Source organism: Homo sapiens, chromosome 19 (assembly GCF_000001405.40).
Source record: "Homo sapiens chromosome 19, GRCh38.p14 Primary Assembly".
NCBI lineage: Eukaryota > Metazoa > Chordata > Mammalia > Primates > Hominidae > Homo > Homo sapiens.
In genome coordinates this window covers 14,728,509-14,756,484 of record NC_000019.10, presented here as the reverse complement: position 1 = coordinate 14,756,484, position 27,976 = coordinate 14,728,509, and the positions used below count along the sequence as shown (strand labels likewise).

Here is a 27,976-nt window from a genome sequence, read left to right as displayed (position 1 = left end):
TGCTCACACTATTCTCTTCCGATATTTTGTAACTTCAGACTATATATGTATATAGTATATATATTAAGTCATAGTATATCAACCACTGCAGGCACGATTCCTAACCTAACCCCCCTTATGTAATTCCCACAACTCATAGAATTGTCCCTGGAGGTGCAGAAGCAAGTAGACAGGAGTGTCACCTTGAGACAGAATCAGGCAGTGATGCAGCTCGACTGGAATCAGGCACAGAAATCTGGTGACCCAGGTAATGGCTGAGATGGGGAGGTGGTCAGTGAAGCTTCATGGTGGGAAAAGATGCCCAAGAATGTGAAAAATAAGAAATTTAAAGATTAAAGGGAAGTGTGGGATGTTTGGAGTGGGGCTGTAAGAGGAGAGTCCAGCTGAGGAGGAACGGACCTTGTTGGGGACCCTGAGATATTAACCGTGGCCTTGTCCTGCAGGATGTGATACACATAGAACTAAAGATTGAAGGAAAGTGTGGGAGGGGTGAAGCCAAAGGAAGGTAGCCCATCTGAGTAGAAAGTTCTGTGCAGGGCAGAGGAACTCTGGTGTGGACCCAGAGATTCAACCTACTCCAAGATTCAACCTTGGCCTCGCCCTGCAGGCCCTTCTGTGGTGGGCCTTGTCTCCATTCCAGGGATGGGCAAGTTGCTGGCTGAGGCCCCTCTGGTCCTGGAACCTGAGAAGCAGATGCTTCTGCATGAGACACACCAGGGCTTGCTGCAGGACGGCTCCCCCATCCTGCTCTCAGATGTGATCTCTGCCTTTCTGAGCAACAACGACACCCAAAACCTCAGCTCCCCAGTTACCTTCACCTTCTCCCACCGTGTGAGTGCTGGTGGAGTTGGTTGGTGGGTGAATAGTCTGAGTCCGGGCATAGCCTTGCTGCTCAGCTCAGCCCTGGGGCTCAGGGGTCTCTGTTATGGGTACATTATCTCCCCAGGAAAGTCAGTCCTTCCCAAGCCGGCTTTGGGTAAGCATTTCTGAGCATCCGACCCACCAGCTCACACCTGTGTTCTTTTTTTTATTGAGACAGAGTCTCGCTGTGTCAGCCAGGCTGGAGTGCAGTGGCACGATCTCAGCTCACTGCAGTCTCCGCCTCCCAGGTTCGAGCGATTCTCCTGCCTCAGCCTCCCTAATAGCTGGGACTACAGGTGTGTGCTACCACGCCCAGCTAATTTTTGTATTTTTTTTTTTTTTTTTTTTTTTTAGTAGAGATGGGGTTTCACCATGTTGGCCAGGCTGGTCTCAAACTCCTGACCTCAAGTGATCCACCTGCTTCAGCCTCCCAAAGTGCTGGGATTACAGGCGTGAGCCACCATGCCCAGCCCACACCTGTGTTCTGTTCCTGCAGTCAGTGATCCCGAGACAGAAGGTGCTCTGTGTCTTCTGGGAGCATGGCCAGAATGGATGTGGTCACTGGGCCACCACAGGCTGCAGCACAATAGGCACCAGAGACACCAGCACCATCTGCCGTTGCACCCACCTGAGCAGCTTTGCCGTCCTCATGGCCCACTACGATGTGCAGGTGAGACCCTTAGGAGGGGATGCACTCTGCATTTATTGCCGTGTAACAAATCCCCAGAGACGTAGCAGCCTTTTAAAAAAATATATGCATTATCTCACAGCTCTGGGTCAGCAAGCTGGCATAGCAAGATGGCTTTTCTGCTCAGGGTCTTACAAGACTGAAATCATCATGTCACCCCACCCCCAGGGCTGCCATTTCATCTGAGACTTGAGGTCCTTCTCCAAGCTCCCTGGTTGCTGGCAGAATTCAGTTTCTTGTGATTGTAGGACTGAAGTCTCACTTTCTTAGCTGTCAGGAAGGCATCACATTCAGTTCCTAGAGGCCACTCATATCCCTTCTCACATGACCCTCTGGCAAACTTCTAGCATTCCTATCTGGAGGACAAGGAAAAAAATTTCCTCACGCAGAATCCCTCTTAAGCTTTGTATTAGTCGAGGTTCTCTAGAGGGACAGAACTAATGGAATAGATAGATAGATAGATAGATAGATAGATAGATAGATAGATAGATAGATAATTTCTGCCTGCTTATATTCTAGCCACGCTGGCAGCTGATTAGATGGTGCCCACCCAGATTAAGAGTGGATCTGCCTTTCCCAACCCACTGACTCAAATATATACATATATAGAGATATATAGAGAGAGATCTATATATATAGATAGATATAGATATATATAAAGGGGAGTTTATTAGGTATTAACTCACATGATCACAAGGTCCCACGATAGGCCGTCTGCAGGCTGAGGAGCAAGGAGAGCCAGTCCGAGTCCCAGAACTGAAGAACTTGGAGTCTGATGTTCAAGGGCAGGAAGCATCCAGCACAGGAGAAAGATGTAGGCTGGGAGGCTAGGCCAGTCTCTCTTTTCACATTTTTCTGCCTGCTTATATTCTAGCCACGCTGGCAGCTGATTAGACAGTGCCCACCCAGATTAAGAGTGGATCTGCCTTTCCCAGTCCACTGACTCAAATGTTAATTTCCTTTGGCAACACCCTGATAGACACACCCAGGATCAATACTTTGTATCCTTCAATCCAATCAAGTTGACACCCAGTATTAACCGTCACAAGTTTTGAATCTGATTCTCCAGGAAGAGCCCAGAGCTTATAAAGACTCATCTGATTAGGTCTGGCCCACCCAGGGTAAACTCTGCCTTTTTTTTTTTTTTAGACAGGGTCTCTGTCACCCAGGCTGGAGTGCAGTGGCACAGTCATAGCTCACTGCAGCCTTGACCTTCTGGGTTCAAGGGATCCTCCTGCCTCAGCCTCCTGAGTAGCTGGGACTACAGGCATGCACCACCATGCCCGGCTAATTTTTGTATTTTTACTAGAGATGGGGTTTCACCAAGTTGGCCAGGCTGGTCTCGAACTCCTTACCTCAAGTAATCCACCCGCCTCGGCCTCCCAAAGTGCTGGTATTACAGGCAGGAACCACCACACCTCGCCCACCTGACTTTCTTATCTCATCACTTAGAGTAGATCCAAGGGACATCATCATCATATCCTGCGGGAGAAAGGGCCAAACCACCCTTTTGTTTTCCATGACAGGAACATCTTATCAATATCCTCCCAGGCAGCAAGCCATACCGCCCAGCCCCTCCCGCCCAGACCTGTAATTACCCCAGCCTGTAAGCGGCAGTGGGTTCTGGCACGAAGCTAGCTCCCCCCTCCACAAGTCTCCTGCTGGACATAAACCTGCATTGCTGTAGAGCTGCCAACTCTCTGTCTTTCTTTAACTCTCACTTTCCCTTCAAAACCTAACGGGCCCACACCTGGAATCTCTGTGCTTTGGGAGGCTGAAACGGGAGGATCACTTGAGCCCAGGAATTCGAGACCAGCCTGTGCAACACAGAAAGACCCTGTCTCTACAAAAATAAAAAAAAAATTAGGACGGGTGTGGTGGCTCACGACTGTAATCCCAGCACTTTGGGAGGCCGAGGCGGGTGGATCATGAGGTCAGGAGTTCAAGACCAGCCTGGCCAACATGGTGTGACCCTGTCTCTACTAAAAGTATAAAAATTAGCCTGGCATGGAGGCACGTGCCTGTAATCCCAACTACTTGGGAGGCTGAGACACGAGAATCGCTTGAACCGAGGAGACAGAGGCTGCAGTGAGCAGAGATCGCACCACTGCACTCCAGCCTGGGCGACAGAGCAAGACTGTCAAAAAAAAAAATTAGCAGGGCATGGTGCCATACATGACTATAATGCACACCCGTTGTCACCTACATGACTACGCCTGTATTCCTAGCCACCCATGAGGCTCGGGTGACACCTTCGCAAATTAAATTAAATTGGTGACATCTTCACAAATTTACCTGGCTCCCTCATTCTTGAATGTGCTATGCCAAAGTAAAAATTTTAAATGGTGGTGGGGTCATTACCCCAGAGCAGGAAAGCATCACTGTGAACTCTTCTTTTCCGGGTCCCAGGAGGAGGATCCCGTGCTGACTGTCATCACCTACATGGGGCTGAGCGTCTCTCTGCTGTGCCTCCTCCTGGCGGCCCTCACTTTTCTCCTGTGTAAAGCCATCCAGAACACCAGCACCTCACTGCATCTGCAGCTCTCGCTCTGCCTCTTCCTGGCCCACCTCCTCTTCCTCGTGGCAATTGATCAAACCGGACACAAGGTATTGACAGCGGTGTTCCAGAGGGCTCCCTTCCTTGACGCAGGACACGCTGGCTCATGGAATGATGCGGCATTTGATTCCTTAATATAATAGCCCGGCTGGGCGTGGTGGCTCATGCCTGTAATCCCAGCACTTTGGGAGACTGAGGTGGGCGGATCACCTCAGGTCGGGAGTTTGAGACCAGCCTGACCAACATGGAGAAACCCCGTCTCTACTAAAAATACAAAATTAGCCAGGCATGGTGGCGCATACCTGTAATCCCAGTTACTCAGGAGGCTGAGGCAAGAGAATCTCTTGAACCCAGGAGGTGGAGGTTGTGGTAAGCCGAGATCGCACCATTGCATGCCAGCCTGGGCAACAAGAGTGAAATTCCGTCTCAAAAAAAAAAAAAAAAAAATATATATATATATATATATGTGTGTGTGTGTGTGTGTGTATACGTATATATACACGTATATATATATAGGCCCTTGAGTCCTGGGGAATATTAGAAGAGAACACCACCAATTTCCCATTGCCTGACTCAACTACACAGCAAATATTCTCTATAATGCCATCAAATATCTCAGAATTCTCCCCAACAACATGGTACAGGAGAAGCCATGGGCCACACTCAAATCTGATCGCCGCTCTGGGCGTCTTTTACTTCTCCGCCAGGTGCTGTGCTCCATCATCGCCGGTACCTTGCACTATCTCTACCTGGCCACCTTGACCTGGATGCTGCTGGAGGCCCTGTACCTCTTCCTCACTGCACGGAACCTGACGGTGGTCAACTACTCAAGCATCAACAGATTCATGAAGAAGCTCATGTTCCCTGTGGGCTACGGAGTCCCAGCTGTGACAGTGGCCATTTCTGCAGCCTCCAGGCCTCACCTTTATGGAACACCTTCCCGGTTAGTGCAAATTCTCACAATCCTTATCTTCTCCGGCATAACCATGGCCATTGCTAGAACCTAGATAGCATTTTTATGACACCTGCTTTTAATTAGATCAGTAGGGATTTTAGGCTCTATTGGTTGGATTACACTGCAGCTCCTTATTCTTAGCTATTGAGTTTATTTCAATTACATTTCAAGCTAGGCATTGTAGAAGAGGGTTTTCGGAAATTTTCTGAATGAAATAAAGGGCAAGCCTTTGGAAAGCACGAATAGGACAAAGACACTATGTCATAATCCCTAGGGCATCTTTCTGCTAGAAGATTATAATAATTAAGGAGGGTCAGGCTCAGTGGCTCGCACCTGGAATCCCTGTGCTTTGGGAGGCTGACACAGGAGGATCACTTGAGCCCAGGATCTTGAGACCAGCCTGGGCAACACAGCAAGACCCCTTCTTTACAAAATTTAAAAAATTAGCAGGGCCTACTGGCACACACCTGTAGTCCTAGCTACTCAGGAGGCTGAGGTGGGAGGATCGCTTGAGCCCAGGAGTTCGAAGTTGCAGTGAGCTATGATTGCACCACTGCACTCCAGCCTGAGCAAGAGAGAAAGACCTTGTCTCTAAAAAATAATAATAATAGTTAGGGATAATGCATTTAAATCTGTCTCACTGAAATAGTAAGAATGAAATCAAAGTGCTCAAGACAGCATTTTTTAAAAATCTAACCTACTTTATCTAAATCTTTTAGGATACTCCAATTTTTCATTTGAAAAAGTAGACCTGATTTGAATAACTAAAATAATTGATATTGTCATAGTTAAGATTTATGAGATGCTTACTTTGTGCCAGGTACTTTTCTAGCTAGTTTGTTTGTTTGTTTGTTTGCCAATTGCACTGGTTGAAACCTCCAGGACACTGTTGACTAGAACAGCAGACAATTTTGTCTTGCTCCTGTACTTAGGGAGAAAGCATTGACTCTGTCCTCATTAATGTATGATGTTAGCTGAGGATTTTTCATAGATACCCTTTTTCAGGTTAAAGAAATTCTTTTCTATTCCTCATGTGTTCGGTATTTTGATGAAGAAAGAGTGTTTGATTTTGTCAAATGCTTTTCCGAAGCATATAATTTTTAATTATATGGGGTAAAAATTATATGATCACATAATTAGATAATCATATAATTATATAATTATATTAGATTATTTTATATGTAATTTTTATATAAATATATATCTATGTAATTTATATATTAATATTATATAACTATAAATAATTATATAACATAGCTATAAATAATTATGTAACTATGAATAATTACATAACATAGCTATAAATAATTATGTAACTATGAATAATTACATAACATAGCTATAAATAATTATGTAACTATGAATAATTACATAACATAGCTATAAATAATTATGTAACTATGAATAATTACATAACATAGCTATAAATAATTATGTAACTATGAATAATTACATAACATAGCTATAAATAATTATGTAACTATGAATAATTACATAACATAGCTATAAATAATTATGTAACTATGAATAATTACATAACATAGCTATAAATAATTATGTAACTATGAATACATAACATAGCTATAAATAATTATGTAACTATGAATAATTACATAACACAGCTATAAATAATTATGTAACTATGAATAATTACATAACATAGCTATAAATAATTATGTAACTATGAATAATTACATAACATAGCTATAAATAATTATGTAACTATAAATAATTACATAACATAGCTATAAATAATTATATAACTATAAATAATTACATAACATAGCTATAAATAATTATGTAACTATAAATAATTATATAACATAGCTATAAATAATTATATAACTATAAATAATTACATAACATAACTATAAATAATTATATAACCATAAATAATTATATTACATAACTATAAATAATTATATTACATAACTAAATAATTATATTACATAACTAATTATATTACATAACTATAAATAATTATATTACATAACTATAAATAATTATATAACTATAAATAATTATATTATATAACTATAAATAATATGATCACATTAAATTGTATAATCATATATTATCATATCATTATAATTATATTATATATGTATATATCATATATAATTACATATAATTATATAAGCATAATTATATGCTTCCTTAATTCTTTATTTTATTAATACACATATTAATAGAATAAAGGATTAAAATTATATGATCACATTATAATTATATGGTTATATAATTATATGGTTATATATGATTAATTATTTACCTTTGAGTCCTGGGGAATATTATATGGTTATATATGGCTAATTATATGGTTATATAATTATAATGTGATCTTATAATTATATGATTACATAATTATATAACTATAATGTGATCATATAACTTTAATCCTTTATTCTATTAATATGTGTATTACATTGATGGATGATTAGATGTTAAACTAGCCTTACATTCCTGGGATAATTACCACCTGGTCAGGGTATATAATCCTTTTAATATGTTGCAGGACTTGGTCGGCTAGTATTTTTTTGAGGATTTTTGCATTCATTTTCATAAGGGATTTTGGTCTGCAGTTTTCTTTTCTTGTGATGTCTATTTCTGGGTTTGGTGTCAGAGTAACACTGGCCTCGTAGAAGATTTGGAAAGTGCTTCCTCTTTTTCCGTTTTTGGTTTTGTGAACTATTAACACTAATCCTCCAAAAGTTAACCATAGAGCTACCATATGACCCAGGTATATACCCAAAACAAATGAAAACGATGTCCACAAAAAAACTTGTACATGATGCAGCCATAAAGAATAAGGAGATCGGCCGGGTGCGGTGGCTCACACCTGGAATCCCAGCACTTTGGGAGGCCGAGGCGAGCAGATCACAAGGTCAAGAGATTGAGACCATCCTGGCCAACATGGTGAAACCCCGTCTCTACTAAAAATACAAAAGTTAGCTGGGCGTGGTCGTGGGTGCCTGTAATCCCAGCTACTTGGGAGGCTGAGGCACAAGAATCGCTTGAACCTGGGAGGTGGAGTTTGCAGTGAGCCAAGATGGCTCCATTGCACTTCAGCCTGGCCACAGAGCGAGACTCCATCTCAAAAAAATAAAATAACAAGATCATGTCCTTTGCAGCAATATGGATGGAGCTGGAGGCCATTATTCTAAGTGAATTAATGCAGGAACAGAAAATCAAATACCGCATGTTCTCACTTATAAGTAGGAGCTAAACATTGGGTACCCATGGACACAAACAAGGAAACTTCAGACACCGAAGCCTGCTTGAGGGTGGAGAGTGGGAGGAGGGCGAGGATAAATAAACGACCTATAGAGTACTGTGCTGATGACCAGGGTGACGAAATAATCTGTACACCAAACCGCCGCAACATGCATTTTACCTACATAACAAACCTACAAAATGTACCTCTGAACCTAAAATAAACGTTTAGAAAAATGTTGTACATGAATGCTCATAGAAGCAGTATTTAGAATAGTCAAAAATTGGAAACAATGCCTATCACTGATGAATGAATAAACAAAACGTAATATATCCACAATGAAATGTTATTCAGCCATAAAAAGGAACGTTAAGAGACCATTCAGTCATTATTTATTTATTTAGAAACACTCTGTCACCCAGGCTGGAGTGCAGTGGTGCCATCTTGGCTCACTGCAACCTCTGCTCTCTGCTTCCTGGGTTCAAGCAATTCTCATGCCTCAGCCTCCCGAGTAGCTGAGATTACAGGCATGCGCCACCACACGCAGCTCATTTTTTGTGTGTTTTTAGTAGAGAAAGGATTTCACCACACTGGGCAAGCTGGTCTCAAACTCCTGATATCAAATGATCCACCCGCCTCGGCTCCCAAAGTGCTGGGATTACAGGTGTGAACCACTGCACCTGGCCTCATTCAGCCATTTTAAAATGCTGCAATATAGGTCTTGCTCTGTTGCCCAGGCTGGAGTGCAGTAGTGCAATCACAGCTCACTGCAGTCTCGACCTCCTGGACTCAAGCGATCCTCCCACCTCAGTCTCCCAAGTAACTGGGAATACAGGTGTGAGCCACCACACCCGGCTATTTTTTTATTTTTTGTAGAAATGGGGTCTTGCTATGTTGCTCAGGCTGGTCTCAAGCTCTTGGTCTCAAGCAATCCTCCCACCTCGGCCTCCCAAAGTCCTGGTGTGAGCCACTGTGCCTGGCACAACCTTCCATTTTTGTTTCATTGTTTGAATGTGTCTGATTGTGTGTATCTTCCTTGAGTTGAAATTTTGGGGATCTAAGACCGTGTTCATTTTCTCCACCACTGTATCTTCAGAGCCAACCACAGACCCTATCACTAAAGAAACACTTAATATTGTTGACGTAGGAAGGAAGTGAGGAAGTGGTGAGGAGGGATGGAATAGATTTACATAACTGTTCCATATCTCCAAAAACTGATGCATTTTTTTTAATCTCTCTTTTTTCAGCTGCTGGCTCCAACCAGAAAAGGGATTTATATGGGGCTTCCTTGGACCTGTCTGCGCCATCTTCTCTGTGAGTGACATCATCTGAGCATCCTCGCTGCCCCGCTGAGGGTCATTAGAAAAACAAGATAATAAAGATGGTGACAAGAGCAGGAATGTCCCCTGGGTTGTCATGGGTTGGGTTAGGTTTCCTAAGACCACTCTTGAATCTTCAAACTCAACACTGTTACTCAATATTTAAGAAAAAGACTTACGTGTATAATTCATATTAGACAGGCTAGGATGAAGAGATAATGGGCTTCAGGCCCGGTGTGGTGGCTCACGCCTGTAATCCCAGCACTTTGGGAGGCCGAGGCAGGCAGATCACTTGAGGTCAGGAGTTCAAGACCAGCCTGGCCAACATGGTGAAACCCTGTCTCTACTAAAAATACAAAAATTAGCCAGGCGTGGTGGTGGGTGCCTGTACTCGGGAGGCTGAGACAGGAGAATCGCTCGAACCCGGGAGGCAGAGGTGGCAGTGAGCTGAGATTGCACCGCCACACTCCAGCCTGGGCAACAGAGCAAGACCCTGTCTGAAAAAAAAAAAAAAAGAGATAACAGGTTTCAAAATCTATTCAACAAATCTTCTGTGGTTTTCTGAAGGTGAATTTAGTTCTCTTTCTGGTGACTCTCTGGATTTTGAAAAACAGACTCTCCTCCCTCAATAGTGAAGTGTCCACCCTCCGGAACACAAGGTAAGATGGAGAAGGGGGTGATAACCACACAGACATGTATGGTTCCCAAGAGCCAAGCCATGTGCCTCAGCAGCCACTGAGGTCCCTTCTCAGGGTCTTTTGAAGGGACCCAGAAAAAACAGACGCAGCCATCCTTCTATGGCAGCCATCACAGATTCAGTGGTATCCTGTTGAGACCCCATGCAACATGTTTTGTCCATGTCTAATCTCAGTTTGTGAATCCCAGAGCAACAGGAAGAATCTTCATTGACTGGTAAATGGTATATATACAAAATAGGATACGATTCGATCACAAAACAGAATGAAACCATGTCATTTGCAGCAACATGGATGAAACTGGAGGTCACTCTCTTAAGTGAAATAAGCCAGGCACAAAAAGACAAATACCACAGGTTGTCACTTACATAGAGAGGAGCCGAAGAAGCTGATCTTGTGGAGGCAGAAAGTAGAATGATAAAAGTTAGCCGGGCATGGTGGCAGGCACCTGTAGTCCCAGCTACTCGGGAGGCTGAGGCAGGAGAACCGCTTGAACCCAGGAGGCGGAGGTTGCGGTGAGCCGAGATCACACCACTGCACTCCAGCCTGGGCAATAGAGTGAGACTCTGCCTCAAAAACTAAAAATAAAAATAAAGTAGAATGATAGATTCCAGAGTCTGGAAAGGGTATGTGAGTGGGCAAGGCGATGAAGAGAGGTTGGTTAATGGGTACAACATACAGTCAGATAGAAGGAATAAGTTATAATATTGGATGGCAGAGTAGGGTGACTCTAGTTCACAATATGTTGTATATTTCAAAATAGCTAGAGGGGAGAATTTGAAGTGTTCCCAACACATACAAATGGTAGACACGCGAAGTGACGGATACCCCAAATACTCTGACTTAATCATGACACACTCTATGCATGTTAACAAAATATCACATATGTCCCCACAAAGATGTACAAACATTACGAATCAATAAACTAAAAGGTTAAAAACTTCTTTGGACTTTTGTCAGCAGTCCTATAACAAAAGCACAAAGAAGGCCGGGCATGGTGGCTCATGCCTGTAATCCCAGCACTTTGGGAAGCTGAGGGGCGGGGGCAGATCACAAGGTCAGGAGTTCGAGACCAGCCTGGCCAAAGAGACCAGCCTGACCAACGTGGTGAAACCCCGTCTCTACTAAAAATACAAAAATTAGCTGGGCGTGGTGGCGGGTGCCTGTAATCCCAGCTACTCCAGAGGCTGAGGCAGGAGAATTGTTTGAACCTGAGAGGCAGAGGTTGCAGTGAGCCGAGATTGCGCCACTGCACTCCAGCCTAGGTGACAGAGCAAGACTCCAACTCAAAAAAAAAAGTGCAAAGAACACGTACATTTTCTTGCCTGTTCCCACAGCCCAGTCTGCACCTTCATACCGTACCCTCAGTTCAGGCTCCTCATCACTTCTCATGCAATCCTCCCTCTGGGAAAATCCTAATCAACATTAAATCCTTTACGGGGGCCAGGCATGGTGGCTCACGCCTGTAATCCTAACACTTTGGGAGGCCGAGGTAGGCGGATCACTTGAGGTCATGAGTTCAAGACCAGCCTGGCCAACATGGTGAAACCCCATCTCTACTAAAAATACAAAAATTAGCCAGGCATGGTGGTGGGCGTCTATAATCCCAGCTACTCAGGAGGCTGAGGTGGGAGAGTCACTTCACCTGGGAGGCAGAGGTTGCAGTGAGCCAAGATCACGCCACTGCACTCCAGCCTGGGTGACAGAGGGAGATTCCATCTCAAAAAAATAAATAAATAAAAATAAAAATAATTCCTCTACAGGGTTTGAGCAGTTTGTTGTTCCAGGCACCCTTGTGCAAAATTAATGAACTTTCTTCTAGATTCCTATCATTATCCTTTCCAAATTTTGTGTGTCATGCCTGGTTGTATTGGTGATTTGAAGAGACTGTGTAGTTCATGAACACAGAAATCTCTTTGCATATTCAAAAATAATCCTTTTTTTTTTTTTGAGACAGAGTCTCGCTCTGTCACTCCCAGGCTGGAGTGCAGTGGCTCTATCTCGACTCACTGCAACCTCCGCCTCCTGAGTTCAAGCAATTCTACTGCCCCAGCCTCCTGAGTAGCTGGGATTACAGGCGCCCCCCCGACCACACCTGGCTAATTTTTGTATTTTTTTAGTAGAGACCAGGTTTCACCATGTTGGTCGGGCTGGTCTCGAACTCCTGACCTCAGGTGATCTGCCTGCCTTGGCCCCCCAAAGTGCTGGGATTACAGGCATGAGCCACCGTGGCCAACCCCAGGTGGCATTTCTACTGTGGGCTATAGTTGACAGTAAATATCTAAGCTGACCACAGCCCAGTCTGAGAAATCATCTACAGGGGAGGGCAGGGGACTCCATGGGCACAGATGAAATAGCCTTGATTCTCTTTCTCTGGGTGCATCACCAGCCTCCTTTCTTACTCAATCCAGGATGCTGGCATTTAAAGCGACAGCTCAGCTGTTCATCCTGGGCTGCACGTGGTGTCTGGGCATCTTGCAGGTGGGTCCGGCTGCCCGGGTCATGGCCTACCTCTTCACCATCATCAACAGCCTGCAGGGTGTCTTCATCTTCCTGGTGTACTGCCTCCTCAGCCAGCAGGTACCACTGCCCAGCTCCCACCCAGGACTCTTCCTGTCCTCACTGCTCTCTGTGAGCTGACCCAGTACACACTTTGCCTCTGCAGGTCCGGGAGCAATATGGGAAATGGTCCAAAGGGATCAGGAAATTGAAAACTGAGTCTGAGATGCACACACTCTCCAGCAGTGCTAAGGCTGACACCTCCAAACCCAGCACGGTAAGATCACGCATTGCTCCAGAGCACTTCACTAACCGACCCACCTGAGGAGCATGTGCCTATCACACAAGGAAACCTGGGAATACAGCAGGCAATGCCCTAGAAAGGCTCGCATCTGAGTACGCCTTGACTCATTAACCATTAGCAATGATCTCAGTTTAAATGTTTTTTTTTAATCAGTCATAGCCTGTCATCCCAGCATCACTGTCATCCCAGCATTTGGGAGGCCTAGGCAAGAGGATCACCTGAGGCCAGGAGTGCAAGATGACCCTGGGCAACATAGCAAGATCCCATCTCTACAAAAAATAAAAATAAAAATTAGCCAGACATGGTGGCATACACCTGTAGTCCCAGCTACTCCTCGGGAGGCTGAGGTGGGACAATCACTTGAGCCCAGTAGGTTGAGGCTGTAGTGAGCCATGATCATGCCACTGCACTCCAGCCCAGGCAACAGAGTGAGACCCTATCCCAAAAATTAAAAAAAAAAAAAAAATCCTTGGCTCTTACTCCTTAGGGAACTGTGCTTAGTTTGACTCTCACACACAAACACTCCTATTGGACACCTACTATGTGCCATGCATGGTTAACTAAATGAGCAGGAATTGATCTGAAGCAGTGATGCACATTCTACCTAGAAGCATTTACCCTATCCCTTTCCTCTACATACAAGTCTATCTCACAGTCACTTGGCACCACCACCCAATAAGGCAAGCATGGGAGGAAATGCTGTACATATTTATGAATTAAACAGAAATAAGTGTTAACTGGGATTTAGGCTTTCTTAACAAGTCTGCCTCTACCAACTACCACTTAGTAGTGGGTAGTGGGCAGTGCCTCTACTCAGCACCCTCTACCCACTGCAAAACTCAGAAAGAAAAGCAGTAATGGGGCCAGCGATGGTGGCTCATGCCTGTAATCCCAGCACTTTAGGAGGCTGAGGCAGGACAACTGCTTGAGGCCAAGAGTTCAAGACTAGCCTGAGCAACCCAGTGACACCTCGTCCCTATAAAGCATTTAAAAATTAGCTGAGGGTGGTTGTGTGCATCTGTAGTCCCAGCAACTCAGGAAGCTGAGGTGAGAGGATCACTTGAGCCCAGGAGTTTGAGGCTGCAGTGAGCTATGATTGTGCCACTGCATTTCAGCCTGGATGACAGCAAGACCTCTTCTCTAGAAAATAATACAAATAACAAAATTAAATAAATAAAGTTTTAAAAACACACTGGGCAACCTGGGAATCAGCGGGTGATGCCCTAAGAGGGTTCACATTTGAGCGACTCCTTGACTCATTAACCATTAGCAATGATCTCAGTTTAAATGCTTTTTTATAAATCAGCCAGGAACAGTGGTTCAAGCTTGTAATGCCAGCACTCTGGGAGGCCAAAGCAGGAAGATCACTTGAGCCCGGGACAACTTGGGGATCACTTGAAGCCATATTATCCTATGCCTCAATGGCATGGGATAATTCATGACATTGATGACTAATAACCAACATTTATTAATGTAGACATACAAAGTTCTGTTGTATTTTTCTCACCTCTTCTTCCATCTTCTCCAGATTATATGTGTAATTCTAACCCCATTTCACTGATGAGCAAAGTAAGACTACTTGGATTTGTGTCAAATGTACAGAGTCTCGGCCAGGCACAGTGACTCATGCCTGTAATCCCAGCACTTTGGGAGGCCGAGGCAGGTGGATCACAAAGTCAGGAGATCGAGACCATCCTGGCTAACACGGTGAAACCCCATCTCTACTAAAAATACAAAAAAAAAAAAAAAATAGCCAGGCGTGGTGGTGGGCGACTGTAGTCCCAGCTACTCGGGAGGCTGTGGCAGGAGAATGGTGTGAACCCAGGAGGCAGAGCTGGCAGTGAGCCGAGATCGCGCCAATGCACTCCAGCCTGGGCAACAGAACGAGACTCTGTCTCAAAAAAAAAAAAAAAAAAAAAAGAAATGTACAGAGTCTCTTCAGCCAGTGAGATTTAGGCCTCTTGAGTCTTGCTTCACATTTAAAGAGCCCATTCAGGGCCAGGCACCGTGGCTCATACCTATAATCTTAGCACTTCAGGAGGCCAAGGCAAGCAAATCACCTGAGGCCAGGAGTTCGAGACCAGCCTGGCCAACATGGCAAAACTCCATCTTTACTAAAAATACATAAATTAGCCAGGCATGGTGGTGCACACCTATAATCCCAGCTACTCAGGAGGCTGAGGCACAAGAATTGCTTGAGCCGGGGAGGTAAAAGTTGTGGTGAGCCAAGATTGCCCCATGCCACTGTACTCCACCCTGGGCAACACAGCAATACTCTGCCAAAAAAAAAAAAAAAAAAAACAGCCTATTCAGCCTGGGCAATGTAACGAGACCCCATCTCTATAAAAAAGTTTTAAAAATTCGCTGGGCGTGGTGGCACATGCCTGTAGTCCCAGCTACTTGGGAGGCGAGAGGATCGCTTGAGCCCAGGAGTTGGAGACCAACCTGTGCAACATGGCAAAATCCCATCTCTACACAAAATATAAAAACTAGCTGGGCATGGTGGTGCATGCCTATAATCCCAGCTGCTTGGGAGGCTGAGGCAGGAGGATCACTTGAGCCCAGGAGTTCAAGGCCACGGTGAGCTACGATTATGCCACTGCACTACAGCCTGGGTGACAGAGCAAGACCCCTTGTGTAAAGTAAATACATAAATAATAAATTTTTTAAAGTCTTGAAAAGAAGCCCACCATGCTGCCAGGCACTTTTTCCACATTTGCATTTCTCTCATTACCTTTTTCCTTTTTTATTTTTCTTTTTTTTTTTTTTTTGAGACGGAGTTTCGCTCTTATTACCCAGGCTGGAGTACAATGGTGCTATCTCAGCTCACCGCAACCTCCGCCTCCTGGGTTAAAGCGATTCTCCTGCCTCCACCTCCCAAGTAGCTGGGATTACAGGCATGTGCCACCAAGCCTGGCTAATTTTGTATTTTTACTAGAGACGGGATTTCTCCATGTTGGTCAGGTTGGTCTCAAATTCCCGACCTCAGGTGATCTGCCCGCCTCAGCCTCCCAAAGTACTAGGATTACAAGCGTGAGCCACCACACCTGGCCTCATTACCTTTTTCATCCAACCTGCACAATCCCTGTTTCCAACACAGGATCTTCTATTTCCTTTTCTGTTCTCACTAAATGCCCTCACCACCTATGTCACACACACACACACACACAAATCCAAGTCATCATGATGACACATTGTAAACTCCATGCTCTCAATCATACAACCAAACATGACCATCCACCTTCCACATTCCCATATTATTGACTGTCCATCCTCTTTTTTTTTTTTTAGACAGAGTCTCACTCGCTCTGTCACCCAGGCTGGAGTGCAGTGACACCATCTGGGCTCACTGCAAACTCTGCCTCCAGGGTTCAAGTGATTCTCGTGCCTCAGCCTCCCGAGTAGCTAGGATTACAGGCACCCGCCACCACGCCTGGCTAATTTTTGTATTTTTAGTAGAGACAGGGTTTCACCATGTTGGCCAGGCTAGTCTTGAACTCCTGGCCTCAAGCCATCTGCCCGCCTTGGCCTCCCAAAGTGCTGGGATTACAGACGTGAGCCACTGCGCCCAGTCCATCCCTGTCTTTGACTCTCCTACAGCCTTCATACTTTATAAAGACCTTGATGATTACATTGGGTTCACCAAGACAATCCAGGGCAATTTTCCCATCTCAAGATCCTTTTCATAACCGTATCTACAAAGTCTCTTTCTCCATGTCAGGTAGCATTTACAGGTTCTGGGGATTAGGGATGTGAACCTCTTTGGGGGGTCATTATTCTGTCTCTCATACCCATATAGTTTGGGTTTACCTATTGTAGAATCATCAAAACCTGCCTCATATTGTAGATATTTGCATAAATATTTATCACCCTTTCACCCCACACAGCCACTAGAAATGATATATACACATTGAAGAAAGGAAACATGTACTTTTGTGTAGGGAATTAGAGTTAGGTCATCAGATAGCCAACAAAGGCTTCTGAAATTTAAGGTGTGTGATCAGATATTTCTACCAGCTACTGACAAAGGACCAAGAAAATCCATTGCATTACTTAATGTCATTTTATCTTCTACTGTTTCCTAAAACTTGTTATCTCTGGTGTTTGAAAATGTATGTGCCTTGGCCGGACACGCTGGCTCACACCTGTAATCCCAACACTTTGGGAGGCCAAGGCGGGCAGAGCACTTGAGGTCAGGAGTTCGAGACCAGCCTGGCCAACATGGCAAGACCCCACCTCTACTAAAAACACAAAAACTAGCCAGGCATGGTGGTGGATGCTTGTAATTCCAGCTACTTGGGAGGCTGAGGCACAAGAATCACTCGAACCCAGGAGGCAGAGGTTGCAGTAAAGCCAAGATCGAGCCACTGCACTCCAGCCTGGGTGACAGAGTGAGACTATGTCTCAAAAAAAAAAAAAAAAAGAAAAGAAAAGAAAAGAAAATGTGTGTCTTGCTCTTATTCTGCAGTCTCTGCCATGGCTTTCTGCAGTCTTGTTTCATAAAAACAAAATGTCTTGTGATCACTACTGAATAATCTCCTGAAGCACAATATTTATTAATCTCTTGAGCACATATTAATTATGCATTAAATACTAACTATATAAGCAAGTGAAGCTGACCATCTCGAACCATAGAAATTACACTGAGTTTCCTATGAACCTAGGAATAAATAACTCATATTGGAGATGGAAAAGATATGGAAAAAAGGAATTCAGGCTGGGCGCAGTGGCTCACGCTTGTAATCCCAGCACTTTGGGAGGCCGAGGCAGGCAGATCACTTTAGCTCAGGACTTCAAGACCAGCCTGGGTAACATGGCAAAATTCCGTTTCTACAAAAAGTATAAAAATTAGCCAGGCATGGTGGTGCATGCCTGTAGTCCCAGCTACCGGGAGGCTAAGATTGGAGTATTGCTTGAGCCCAGGAGGTCAAGTATCCAGTGAGCTATGATCCCATCACTGCACTCCAGCCTGGGCAACAAAGCAAGACCCCTGTCTCAGGGGAAAAAAAAGGAATTCAGTGCTTTTTCCTTTAAATCTTATGTGGTTAACAATAGATAACACTTCTAACATTTCATTAATTTCCCACCTGGCTTCTTTTATGACTCCACATTTAAAGCAACATTACACAAACCCTGGAGCTCCGAGGTCAAGACATACATTTGGAAACAGATAGATCTTTTTAAATGTTTTTTAATTGATCCATAATAGACGTACATAGTTTCTAGGTACATGTGATCATTTGCTACACTCATATAAGCAAATCAGGGTAACTAAGATATCTATCACCTTAAATACTTATCTTTTCTTTGTACTAATAACATTCAAATTATTCTCTTCTAGCTAGTTTGAAATGTATGGTAGATTAATGTTAACTATAATCACCCTACTTCAGATACAACTTTTTTTTTTTTTTTTGAGAGGGAGTTTTACTCTGTCGCCCAGACTGGAGTACAGTGGCACCATCTTGGCTCACTGTGACCCCCACCTCCCAGATTCAAGCGATTCTCCTGCCTCAGCCTCCCGAGTAGCTGGGACTACAGGCGCCTGCCACCAAGCCCAGCTAATTGATTATTATTATTACTACTGTATTCTAGTAGAGACAGGGTTTCACCATGTTGGCCAGGCTGGTCTCAAACTCCTGACCTCAAGTGATCTGCCCGCCTCGGCCTCCCAAAGTGCTGGGATTACAGGTGTGAGTCACCACACCTGGCCCAGATAGATACTTTACTGCAACACATTTACTTCCTCTTAACTTTGGTAACTTGGGGTTTAGGAGGCATACAAAGATGGGGCTTCTGAGAAAGAACAGGATGGAGCAAAATGAAAGCTGATATGGCCTTTTGATGTTGCCCTGACAAATACATATGGTAAGAAAACCTTATGATTAAAGACTTCTTGGCCAGGCATGGTGGCTCACACCTAGAATTCCAGCATTTTTGGGAGGTTGAGATGGGAGGATCACTTGAGCCCAGAAGTTCAACAGCAGCTTGGGCTATACAGTGAGACCCCATCTCTACAAAAAATTAAAATTAAAAAATGAGACAGGAGTGGTGGCACATGCCTGTAGTTGCAGCTACTCGGGAGGCTGAGGCAGGAGGATCACTTGAACCTGGGAGTTGGAGGTTGCAGTGAGCAGAGATGGTGCCACTGCACTCCAGACTGGGTGACAGAGCAAGGCCCTGTCTCTAAAAAGAAAAAAAAAAAAAAGACTTCTTAAATTTCTTTTTTTTAATAAATTTTATTGTGTATACACACAATTGAGGTTTAACCCATGAAGTTATGGGATACATATAGATAATAAAATGGTTATCTATATGTGAAGCAAATTAATATATCTATCATCTCACATAGTTACTTATTTTTGTGGCACAAGCAGCTATAATCTACTTATTTAACTAATTTCTTATTTCTTTTTCAAAATGGAAATTATAGGTTTTCTTTCTATAGTCATATATATTTCTAAATATATATATATTTCTAAATATATAGATATTAAATATATATATTTCTAAATATATAGATATTAAATATCTATATATTTCTAAATATATAGATATTAAATATCTATATATTTCTAAATATCTATATATTTCTAAATATCTATACTTCTAAATATCTATATTTCTAAATATCTATATATTTCTAAATATCTATATTTCTAAATATCTATATATTTCTAAATATCTATATATTTCTAAATATCTATATATTTCTAAATATATATATTTAGAAATATCTATGTATTTCTAAATATCTATATATTTCTAAATATCTATATACTTCTAAATATATCTATGTTTCTAAATATATTTAGAAATATATATATATTTCAGGCCAGCTCAGTGGCTCACACCTGTAATCCCAGCACTTTGGGAGGCTGAGGCAGGCAGATCACCTGAGGTCAGGAGTTCAAGGCCAGCCTGGCCTACGTGGTGAAACCCTGTCTCTACTAAAAATACAAAATTAGCCGGGTGTGGTGGCACATGCCTCTAATCCTGGCTACTCTGGAGGCTGAGACAGGAGAATTGCTTGAACCTGGGAGGCGGGGGTTACAGTGAGTCGAGGCTGCGCCATTGCACTCCAGCCCAGGCAACAAGAGTGAAACTCTGTCTCAACAACAAAATACATACATATATATATATTTCAGGTTAACTAGAAAAATCTTCTGAATAAGATCTTCCCTCTTTGCCCGTGGAAAATCTGAACAATCTTTGAGCCATCTAGAGGGGAAAGAAAAGACTTTGTTCTGTGTGTTTCAAGAAATTCACCATGTCAGCAATATGAAGGATGTTATGGAAGGCGTGCTAGGCATTCAATTCCTGCAGAAACCGGAAATCTTCCATGCCCTGCAATGTGCTCATCAAACTCTCAGCATATGGACGGCCAGCTGTGGCCCATATCTTGGTCACTCTGAAGCACAATATTTATGAAGCTATAGAACGTTAAGACCTCTTTCACAGCCTCTCCTTCCTACAAAGACTCCTCCAAATCTTAAAATGAAGCAGGAAAACGAGCCTAAGAGGACTTTCATACCGACAACATCTGAAAGGACTAGAATGTTCACACCACGATCTGGATTTCTTAATTTTTTGTTTTTGTTTTTGTTGTTCTCTAGTTCTACGGGTTTGATTATTTAGTCATGTGAAAAATATTGATTACTCACACATAGATCAAGAGAGACACGGCTCCTGCCTTCATGGAGCTTTTAGGGGAAAATGAAGTGGCTCTTGCAGCTAGAGTTGACTCAGAAGCCGAAATTCCTAGAAATCAGGTTTCTACTGCTAGGCAATTGAAGTATAAACTATTTTATAAACACTGTCTTCTTTCGTCTTCACACCAACATGCAGAAAAGTTTCTAATCTCAGATCGGGGATGTGCAACAAATTCCATTTCAAAGGAATGACCTGCAAAACTCCTAAATATTCCAAGCAAATGCCCTTAACCCTGTCTGTTATCTGCTTTCCTTGAACAGAAATTCTACATGACCATAAAACCTCGAAGATGGGTATGGCACAGTTCATGCCCTGTAATCCTAGCACTTTGGGAGGGTGAGGCAGGAGGATGGCTCAAGCCCAGGAGTTTGAGACCAGTGTGGGCAACAGAGTGAGAACCATCTCTACCCAAAAAAAAAATTAAAAATTAGCCAAGCATGGTGATGATATAGGAGTTAAGGAGAAATCATTTAGGCAAATAGCAAGGGTAGGAAGTCCTCAGTAAGGTTTTCCATTTAATGAAAAGCAGCCCCCAAAATCATTTTCTTTTCTAACAAAGAACAGCCTGTAAAATCGAGCTGCAGACATAGACAAGCAAGCTGGAAGCTTCCACGGGTGAATGCCGGCAGCTGTGCCAATAGGAAAAAGCTACCTAGACTAGGCATGTCCAAAATGGCGGCTCCAAGTTCCCTTCTCTTTGCCAGCCATGTGTACAGTAAAAAGCAGGCAACATAGTGTCAGCCAAAGCTCATTTGCATAATAAGATTAGGGTGGGGTGGCCAGCTCACATAGGGGTAGGCCCTAGGTAAATCAGACACCGCCTTCTCAAGCCTGTCTATAAAATCTGGTACACTATGACGAGGGTCAGATTTCCCATTCAGACGCCCCTCTCCCATGCAAGAGAAAGAGCTGTTCTCCTTTCTCTTTCTTTTGCCTATTAAACCTCTGCTCCTGGCCAGGCACAGTGGCTCACGCCTATAATCCCAGCACTTTGGGAGGCTGAGGTGGTCAGATCACCTAAGGTCAGGAGTTCAAGACCAGCCTGGTCAACATGGTGAAATCTTGTCTCTAGTAAAAATACAAAAATATATGAAATCTCACATAGATGATAATATTAAGTTCCAAAAGCAACTCAACCTGGTAGATTCTAATTTTTTTTGAGGCAGGGTCTTGCTTTGTCACCCATGCTGGAGTACAATGGCACAAACACTGCTCACTGCAGCCTCGACCTCCCAAGGCCTAAGCAATCCTCCTGCCTCAGTCCCCCTCCAGGTATTTGAAACTACAGGTGTGTACCACCACACCGGGCTAATTTTTGTATTTTTTGTAGAGACGTGGGTCTCACTATGCTGCCCAGGCTCAGGTCTTAATCTCCTGAGCTCAGGCAATCCGCAGGCCTCAGCCTCCCTAAGTGCGGGGATTACAGGCTTGAGCCACTGCACCTAGCCTCTATTTGTTTTACAAAAGAGAAATTGAGATCCTGAATGTTAAGTGACTTGCCTGAGGCCATCCCACTAACAGGAGCCAGGGTTAGGATTCAAACCCCATCCAACTGGTCCCAGAGCTGGAGCTTCTTGCACTGCCCTACACTACCTACCATCTCCATCCTCTGGGCACCTTTTTATAAGAACCAAAACATTACAGAGCATTGCTTTGTCAACTCAGCTGGGAACATTTCCCAGTGCAACTCACATTTTTCACTGCTCTGTGCCTGTCCGTATAAGCTCAATGAGTATTGATTTAGGGGCTTTGGAGAACTTTGAATGCTACCCCCCAAGTAACCATTGTTGGCAACCTGGTACCTCTACTTTTAGCCATTTCTCCTTCTCTATAAATAGTGCAGAAGTAACCCACTTGGTAACAGGCATCCTTGCCAAGCCTCCACCACTAGGTCAGTGTAAGAATTAAAGAAAGAGGAAAGAAACACAAAAAGTGGCTTGATGGTTAAGACAGGTTTATTTTAGAGAAAACACACCTGAGAGGGGCTGCTGGCTGAATTAGGTTAGAGTCTTTTCTACAGACTAAGAGTGTTTAAGGATTTAGGGTGGGAGAGTTTCTTAGAGGCTTGGACTGCTTCTGTGTTTTTTTTGTTGTGCTTATATGGGAGGGAGAGTGGTGTGTTTGCTTTTATACATTTTTCTGCAGCTGTAGGCATACCCCCCAAGTCTGCTTTTAGCTTCCCTATTTTAGTGCACCTGGAGGGAAAGGAATGTGCTTATTAAGGCCCACTGTTTTACTGGGGCCCATTGTATGAGGGTGAAGTTTGGCAGTTACCCAAGAGACTTTTCCTCCACCTTCCTCTGTGCCCGAGCTGTTTTATCTGCATTTTACTGTCTGCTTTTTTTGGCTGCTTATAGTTTTTAAAAAAGTAATTTCCTTAAATCCAGAAGGCTAAAAATGAAGCTGAAACTTAAAGTGGCGGTGTTTGTCCAAAATAACGGGGCTCCTGCTCTGCCAGTCAGTACCCTCAAGTCACTCCTGATCCTCAACCTCCATGCCTAAGGCTGGTTCAAGAGACCACATAATATCTGCCTTTTATTACATACATGATGGGTGCATGGGATTCTGCGTGCCCTTTGCTTGATATAGACTGCTAAGGTGAGATGGGGAATATCAGAGTCAGCTGCTGCTTGAGGAAGCAGAACACACAGCTGGAGGCTTGGAACATGTGGGTCCCTATGAGTGTAGAGCCCATATCCCCATAGAGTCTACCTAGAGCAGGGGTCGCCAAATGTTTTCTTAAAGAGCCTGATAGTGTATATGTTAGGCTTTGTGAGCCAGGTATTTACAGCAACTCAATTCTACCACTGTGGTATGAAAACAGCTATAGACAATCATAAATGAATGATCATGGCTATGTTTTAATAAAACTTTACAGACACTGAACTTGAACTTCCATTGTGATATGAAAACAGCTATAGACAATCATAAATGAATGATCATGGCTATGTTTTAATAAAACTTTATGGACACTGAGCTTGAACTTCATATATCAGTCATGTGACACAAAATATCATTCTTCTTTTTATTTGTTTTCACCCATTTGAAAAATGTAAAAACTATTCTTAGCTGTACAGAAACAGATGGTGGGTCAGATTTGACTCACTGCCCATAGTTTCCAGACCATGATGTTCAGGTTCATGGAAGCACTTCACTCTACACTAATTTATTCATCCATTCATCACATATGTGATGAGCACATACAGACACACCTCAGAGATATTGCAGGCTCCACTCCAGATCACCACAATAATGTGAATATTGCAATAAAGCAAGTCATACACATTTTTTGGTTTCCCAGTGTGCATAAAAGTATGCTTACCCTATACTGTAATGTGTGCAATAGCATTATGTCTTTTTTTTAATGTACATACTTTAATTTAAAAATAGTTTATTCCTAAAAAATGCTCAAGCAGGGACACAAAGTGAGCACATGCTGTTGGGAAAATGGCACCTACAGACTTGCTCGACACAGGGCTGCCATAAACGTTCAATTTGTAAAAAATGCAATATCTGTGAAGGGCAATGAAATGAGGTATTCCTATACTCTCGTGCAAGGCATAATGCTAAATTGAGAGAAACTAAAACATATAAGACAGACATGATCCTACATCCAGGAATATTGATGATTTGTAAGATGGAAAATGAGGAGGAAGGAAAGGTGCAGTGCAATGGACTCTGTGGTCTGGGGGACACACAGCCCCTTTAAGGACATGGCAGAAGTGAAACACAGACGAGGTTGGGGAAGGAAGGTCAGAGGAAACTCTAGGGTCAGCTGATGGCAGCATCCATTTGCCCCCATATCTTCACTTTTTAAATTTATTAAGTCCATTCTCTTTATTTATGATGGAAATAATGTTAATTTGCTCATGGGTTGTGTTTGAATATTAAGTAAGAAAATAAAGATTAAGCTCTGGTATGTAGTAAGAAACCCAAAGATAAACAAGAGTTAAGGGGCAAGTAGGCAGCAGAGTTTCCCATCTCATTTCTCCAGAATTATATCATCCAGTTTGAAACATGAAATACGGCTTTAAGGTAGAGTTTGGCTTCTCAGCTGGATTTTAAGTACAAGACCACGCCCACCAAAGACAGCAGACAAAGGAGCTAGGGTACACGTTTGAAGAACCCTCTCCCTCCAGCTCTCCACCGTGGGGGTCCACTGTGAGCAGTTTCCCTGGCTGTTTTCCCCCTTTCTGCATCTAACAGTCATTGCACGGCTGGGGAAACAAAGACCCACACAGGCCTTAGTCTCCTTGCGGGGAACCTACAATCCGGAAGCCAGAAGTATGTGACTAAGCTCCCGGAAGCCGGAAGTTAAGGAGCCCGGATGTCACGGAACTGGAAGTTTGAAAGTCCAAGGCCACTGACCTGCAAGCTTCAGAATCTGCAGATTTGGAGTCTTCAAGCCCCAGTAGTGATCCTTTGATATCCAGAGGTTGGATTCTAGCGATCTGAACATGCAAGAGAGTACTGGATGTGGAAATTCTTCCAAATTAGTTGGGTGGCTGAAAAGGGAATTATAAGGAGGAAGAATGAGGGAAAGAGAAGAGAAATTGAATGAATAAAGGGGCCAATCCTTGGGGGGAGGGGGCAGGAGGGGCGGTGCTTGAGACCAGGGCAGCATGTAAGGGACTGCCTATGAATGTCCTAAATATCTGCTATTTAGGGCATTCTGGGATGGGAGTTTGAAAGACTGATGGTGGTGTGTTTTGCAGCCACATGAATGCAGCTGGAACCATCATCCTAAGTGAATTAACTTAGAAAACCAAATACCGCATGTTCTCACCTGTAAGAGAGAGCTAAATATTGGGTACACGTGAACATAAAGATGGGAGCATTAGACAATGGGGACTACTAGATGGAGGAGGGAGGGAGGAGGGCAAGGGTTGAAAAACTACCTATCAGGTACTATGCTCACTAACTGGATTCATTTGTACCCCAAACCTCAGCATCATGCAATATACTCTTGTAACAAACCTAAACGTGTACCCTCAGAATCTAAAAATAAAAGTTGAAATTAAAAAAATCACTGTTGATAGACATTTGGGTTGTTCCCAGTTTGGGTTATTACAAACTGCTTTGCTAGCTTTAACTTTTTTTAAATAATAAACTCTTAAATTTACAGTGCAAGAAATACAGAAAGAGAGAGGAAGACAAAGAAAAAGAAAGGAGATAGAGAAAGGAAAAGCAAAGAAAGAAAAAGAAAAAAGTGAAAGAAAGAGAGGAAGGGAGGAAGGAAAGAAGGAAGGAAGGACAGACTGATGGTGGGATAAGAGAGAAGGGGCTGGGAAGAACTAAGTGGAACATTCTGAAAATGAAGACAGTGGCCGGGCACGGTGGTTCACACCTGTAATCCCAGCACTTTGGGAGACTGAGGCAGGCAGATCACCTGAGGTCAGGAGTTCAAGACCAGCCTGACCAACATGGTGAAACCCCATCTCTACTAAAAATACAAAAATTAACCAGGCATGGTCACGGGCACCTGTAATCCCAGCTACTCAGGAGGCTGCGAGGCAGAAGAATCACTTGAACCTGGGAGGCAGAGGTTGCAGTGAGCAGAGATTGTGCCATTGTACTCCAGCCTGGGTGACAGAGCGAGACTCCATCTCAAAAAATAAAAAATAAAAATAACTCTCTTCTCTCTATTTTCCTTCAATAAATTCTCTTTTTGGCTAAAGTAGTCATTTTAGCCAAAATCTTTCTCTCAAGACAACAAAGAACTGAGGATTTCTGCCCTTTCCAGTATACAACTAGCAGGGATCCCACTGGCATTTTTCTTTGGACAGATAAAATTGGATGTATTTATCAAGAGCAACATGATGTTTAATGGATGTATACATTGGGGAATAACCAGATCTAGCAAATTAATGTATGCCTCGTCTCATATAGTTATTATTTGGTGGTGAGAACAATTTACATCCACTCTCTTAGCATTTTTTAAGAATATAATTTATTATTAACTATAGTCACCATGCTCTACAATTGATCTCCTGAACTTCTTCCTCCTGTCTAACTGAAATTTGTATCCCACCGGGCGCAGTGGTTCACACCATAATCCCAGCACTTTGGGAGGCTGGGGTGGGCAGATCGCTTCAGCCCAAGAGTTCAAGCCCAGCCTGGGCAAAATGGAGAAACCCTAACTCTACAAAAAATATTAGCCAGGCATGGTGGTGCATGCCTGTGGTCCCAGCTACTCTGGAGGCTGAGGAGGAAGGATCACTTGAGCCCAGTAGTTTGAGGCTGCAGTGAGCTGTGACCACACCACTGCACTCCAACCTGAACAACAATTAGACCCTGTCTCAAAAAACAAAAAAAAAAAGTGTATCGTTTGACCAACATCTCCCCAACCCAAGCTACTGGCATTTAGTTAATAGTCCAGGGATGCTGCTCAACAGTCTTCAGTGCATAGGGCAGTTCCTACAGCAAAGAATTATCTGGCCAATAAGGTCACAGTTGAGAAACCCTGACTGTAGGATGCAATGAATCTCTCGGTTTCTCTTCAAAGGTTCAGTCTGTTAACTTCCTTGTCTCTATGCCTCCCTGCCCCAAGTTACTATAAACAGCCTTCCCGTCGGCACTAATCAATAACTCACATCTGTTCCCTCGGTCACGCATTCTGCACCCGTTCCACCCCTCAAAACCACACACATACCCTTCAAAACTGCACGTCCCACCATTGTAACTCACGTCCCCTTCCCCCTTCTTTATTTGAGAGAAATATTCGCAAGTAGCCAATCGGGTCAGCTTACATTGTGCCGACCCCAGCCCATGGGGGAAGGACATGGAGGCAGGGATTGCGTTAAGGATATAAAACCCCCCTGGCCTCCTTTGTTCTCTGTGCTCTTGGATCTTGATTGACGTGGGTGGCACCCTTCTGCAGAAGTAAACTGCCTTGCTGAGAGAACTTTTGCCTCAGTGCTGGTTTCACTTTGCAGCACCCAGCATTTATTGCTAGAGCATTTTTATATTCAACATGACCTAAGGTGTAAAGGGATTCACATGGAAGTTTTTGCCATTTTCTTCATCCTTTCCATTGTCGTCATAGGTCACTCATTCCCAGGTCTAGAGAAAGTTTGATGCAGTAACTGTTGTTTGAGATGAGTGGCTTCACCTGCTCATCTTTCTATTGAATACATTTATAAGTGATGTGCTTCAAGAAATTCTTCAAAGC

At 43.4% G+C, this 27,976-nt stretch overlaps 2 protein-coding genes across 29 annotated transcripts in view, besides 1 other annotated feature; one reads left to right on the top strand and one right to left on the bottom strand.

Annotated features, from left to right (window-relative positions):
* Window positions 1–27,976, top strand: part of ADGRE2 (adhesion G protein-coupled receptor E2) — a 54,390-nt gene that overhangs the window by 22,076 nt on the left and 4,338 nt on the right. For 4 of the 28 annotated variants that reach the window (NM_013447.4, XM_047438725.1, NM_152917.2 and 1 more), the window contains 10 exons: window positions 140–247; window positions 608–831; window positions 1,358–1,531; window positions 3,959–4,156; window positions 4,814–5,049; window positions 9,523–9,589; window positions 10,162–10,253; window positions 12,701–12,869; window positions 12,955–13,065; window positions 20,241–24,093. In NM_013447.4, coding sequence (NP_038475.2) covers window positions 140–247; window positions 608–831; window positions 1,358–1,531; window positions 3,959–4,156; window positions 4,814–5,049; window positions 9,523–9,589; window positions 10,162–10,253; window positions 12,701–12,869; window positions 12,955–13,065; window positions 20,241–20,249 — 1,388 coding nt within the window. In that variant the 3' untranslated portion in view covers window positions 20,250–24,093. Of the gene's footprint in view, window positions 1–139; window positions 248–607; window positions 832–1,357; window positions 1,532–3,958; window positions 4,157–4,813; window positions 5,050–9,522; window positions 9,590–10,161; window positions 10,254–12,700; window positions 12,870–12,954; window positions 13,066–18,866; window positions 19,016–20,240; window positions 24,094–24,799; window positions 25,848–27,976 lie in introns of those variants that run through there. The other 24 variants (XM_047438728.1, XM_047438729.1, XM_047438723.1 and 21 more) reach the window with 16 other exon arrangements.
* The window catches only part of ZNF333 (zinc finger protein 333), a 43,956-nt gene continuing 38,722 nt past the window's right edge, over window positions 22,743–27,976 (bottom strand). Inside the window, exon 12 of the mRNA NM_001300912.2 lies at window positions 22,743–25,310. Coding sequence (NP_001287841.1) covers window positions 25,299–25,310 — 12 coding nt within the window. The 3' untranslated portion in view covers window positions 22,743–25,298. The remainder of the gene's footprint in view (window positions 25,311–27,976) is intronic.
* Window positions 24,720–25,919: an enhancer, noted in NCBI's record as "P300/CBP strongly-dependent group 1 enhancer chr19:14841378-14842577 (GRCh37/hg19 assembly coordinates)". NCBI's record gives its function as "activates an origin of replication core promoter dependent on BRD2, BRD4, P300/CBP, MED14 and CDK7 cofactors, with strong dependence on P300/CBP, by STARR-seq in HCT116 cells {active_cell/tissue: HCT116}" and the evidence as "EXISTENCE:reporter gene assay evidence [ECO:0000049][PMID:35650434]".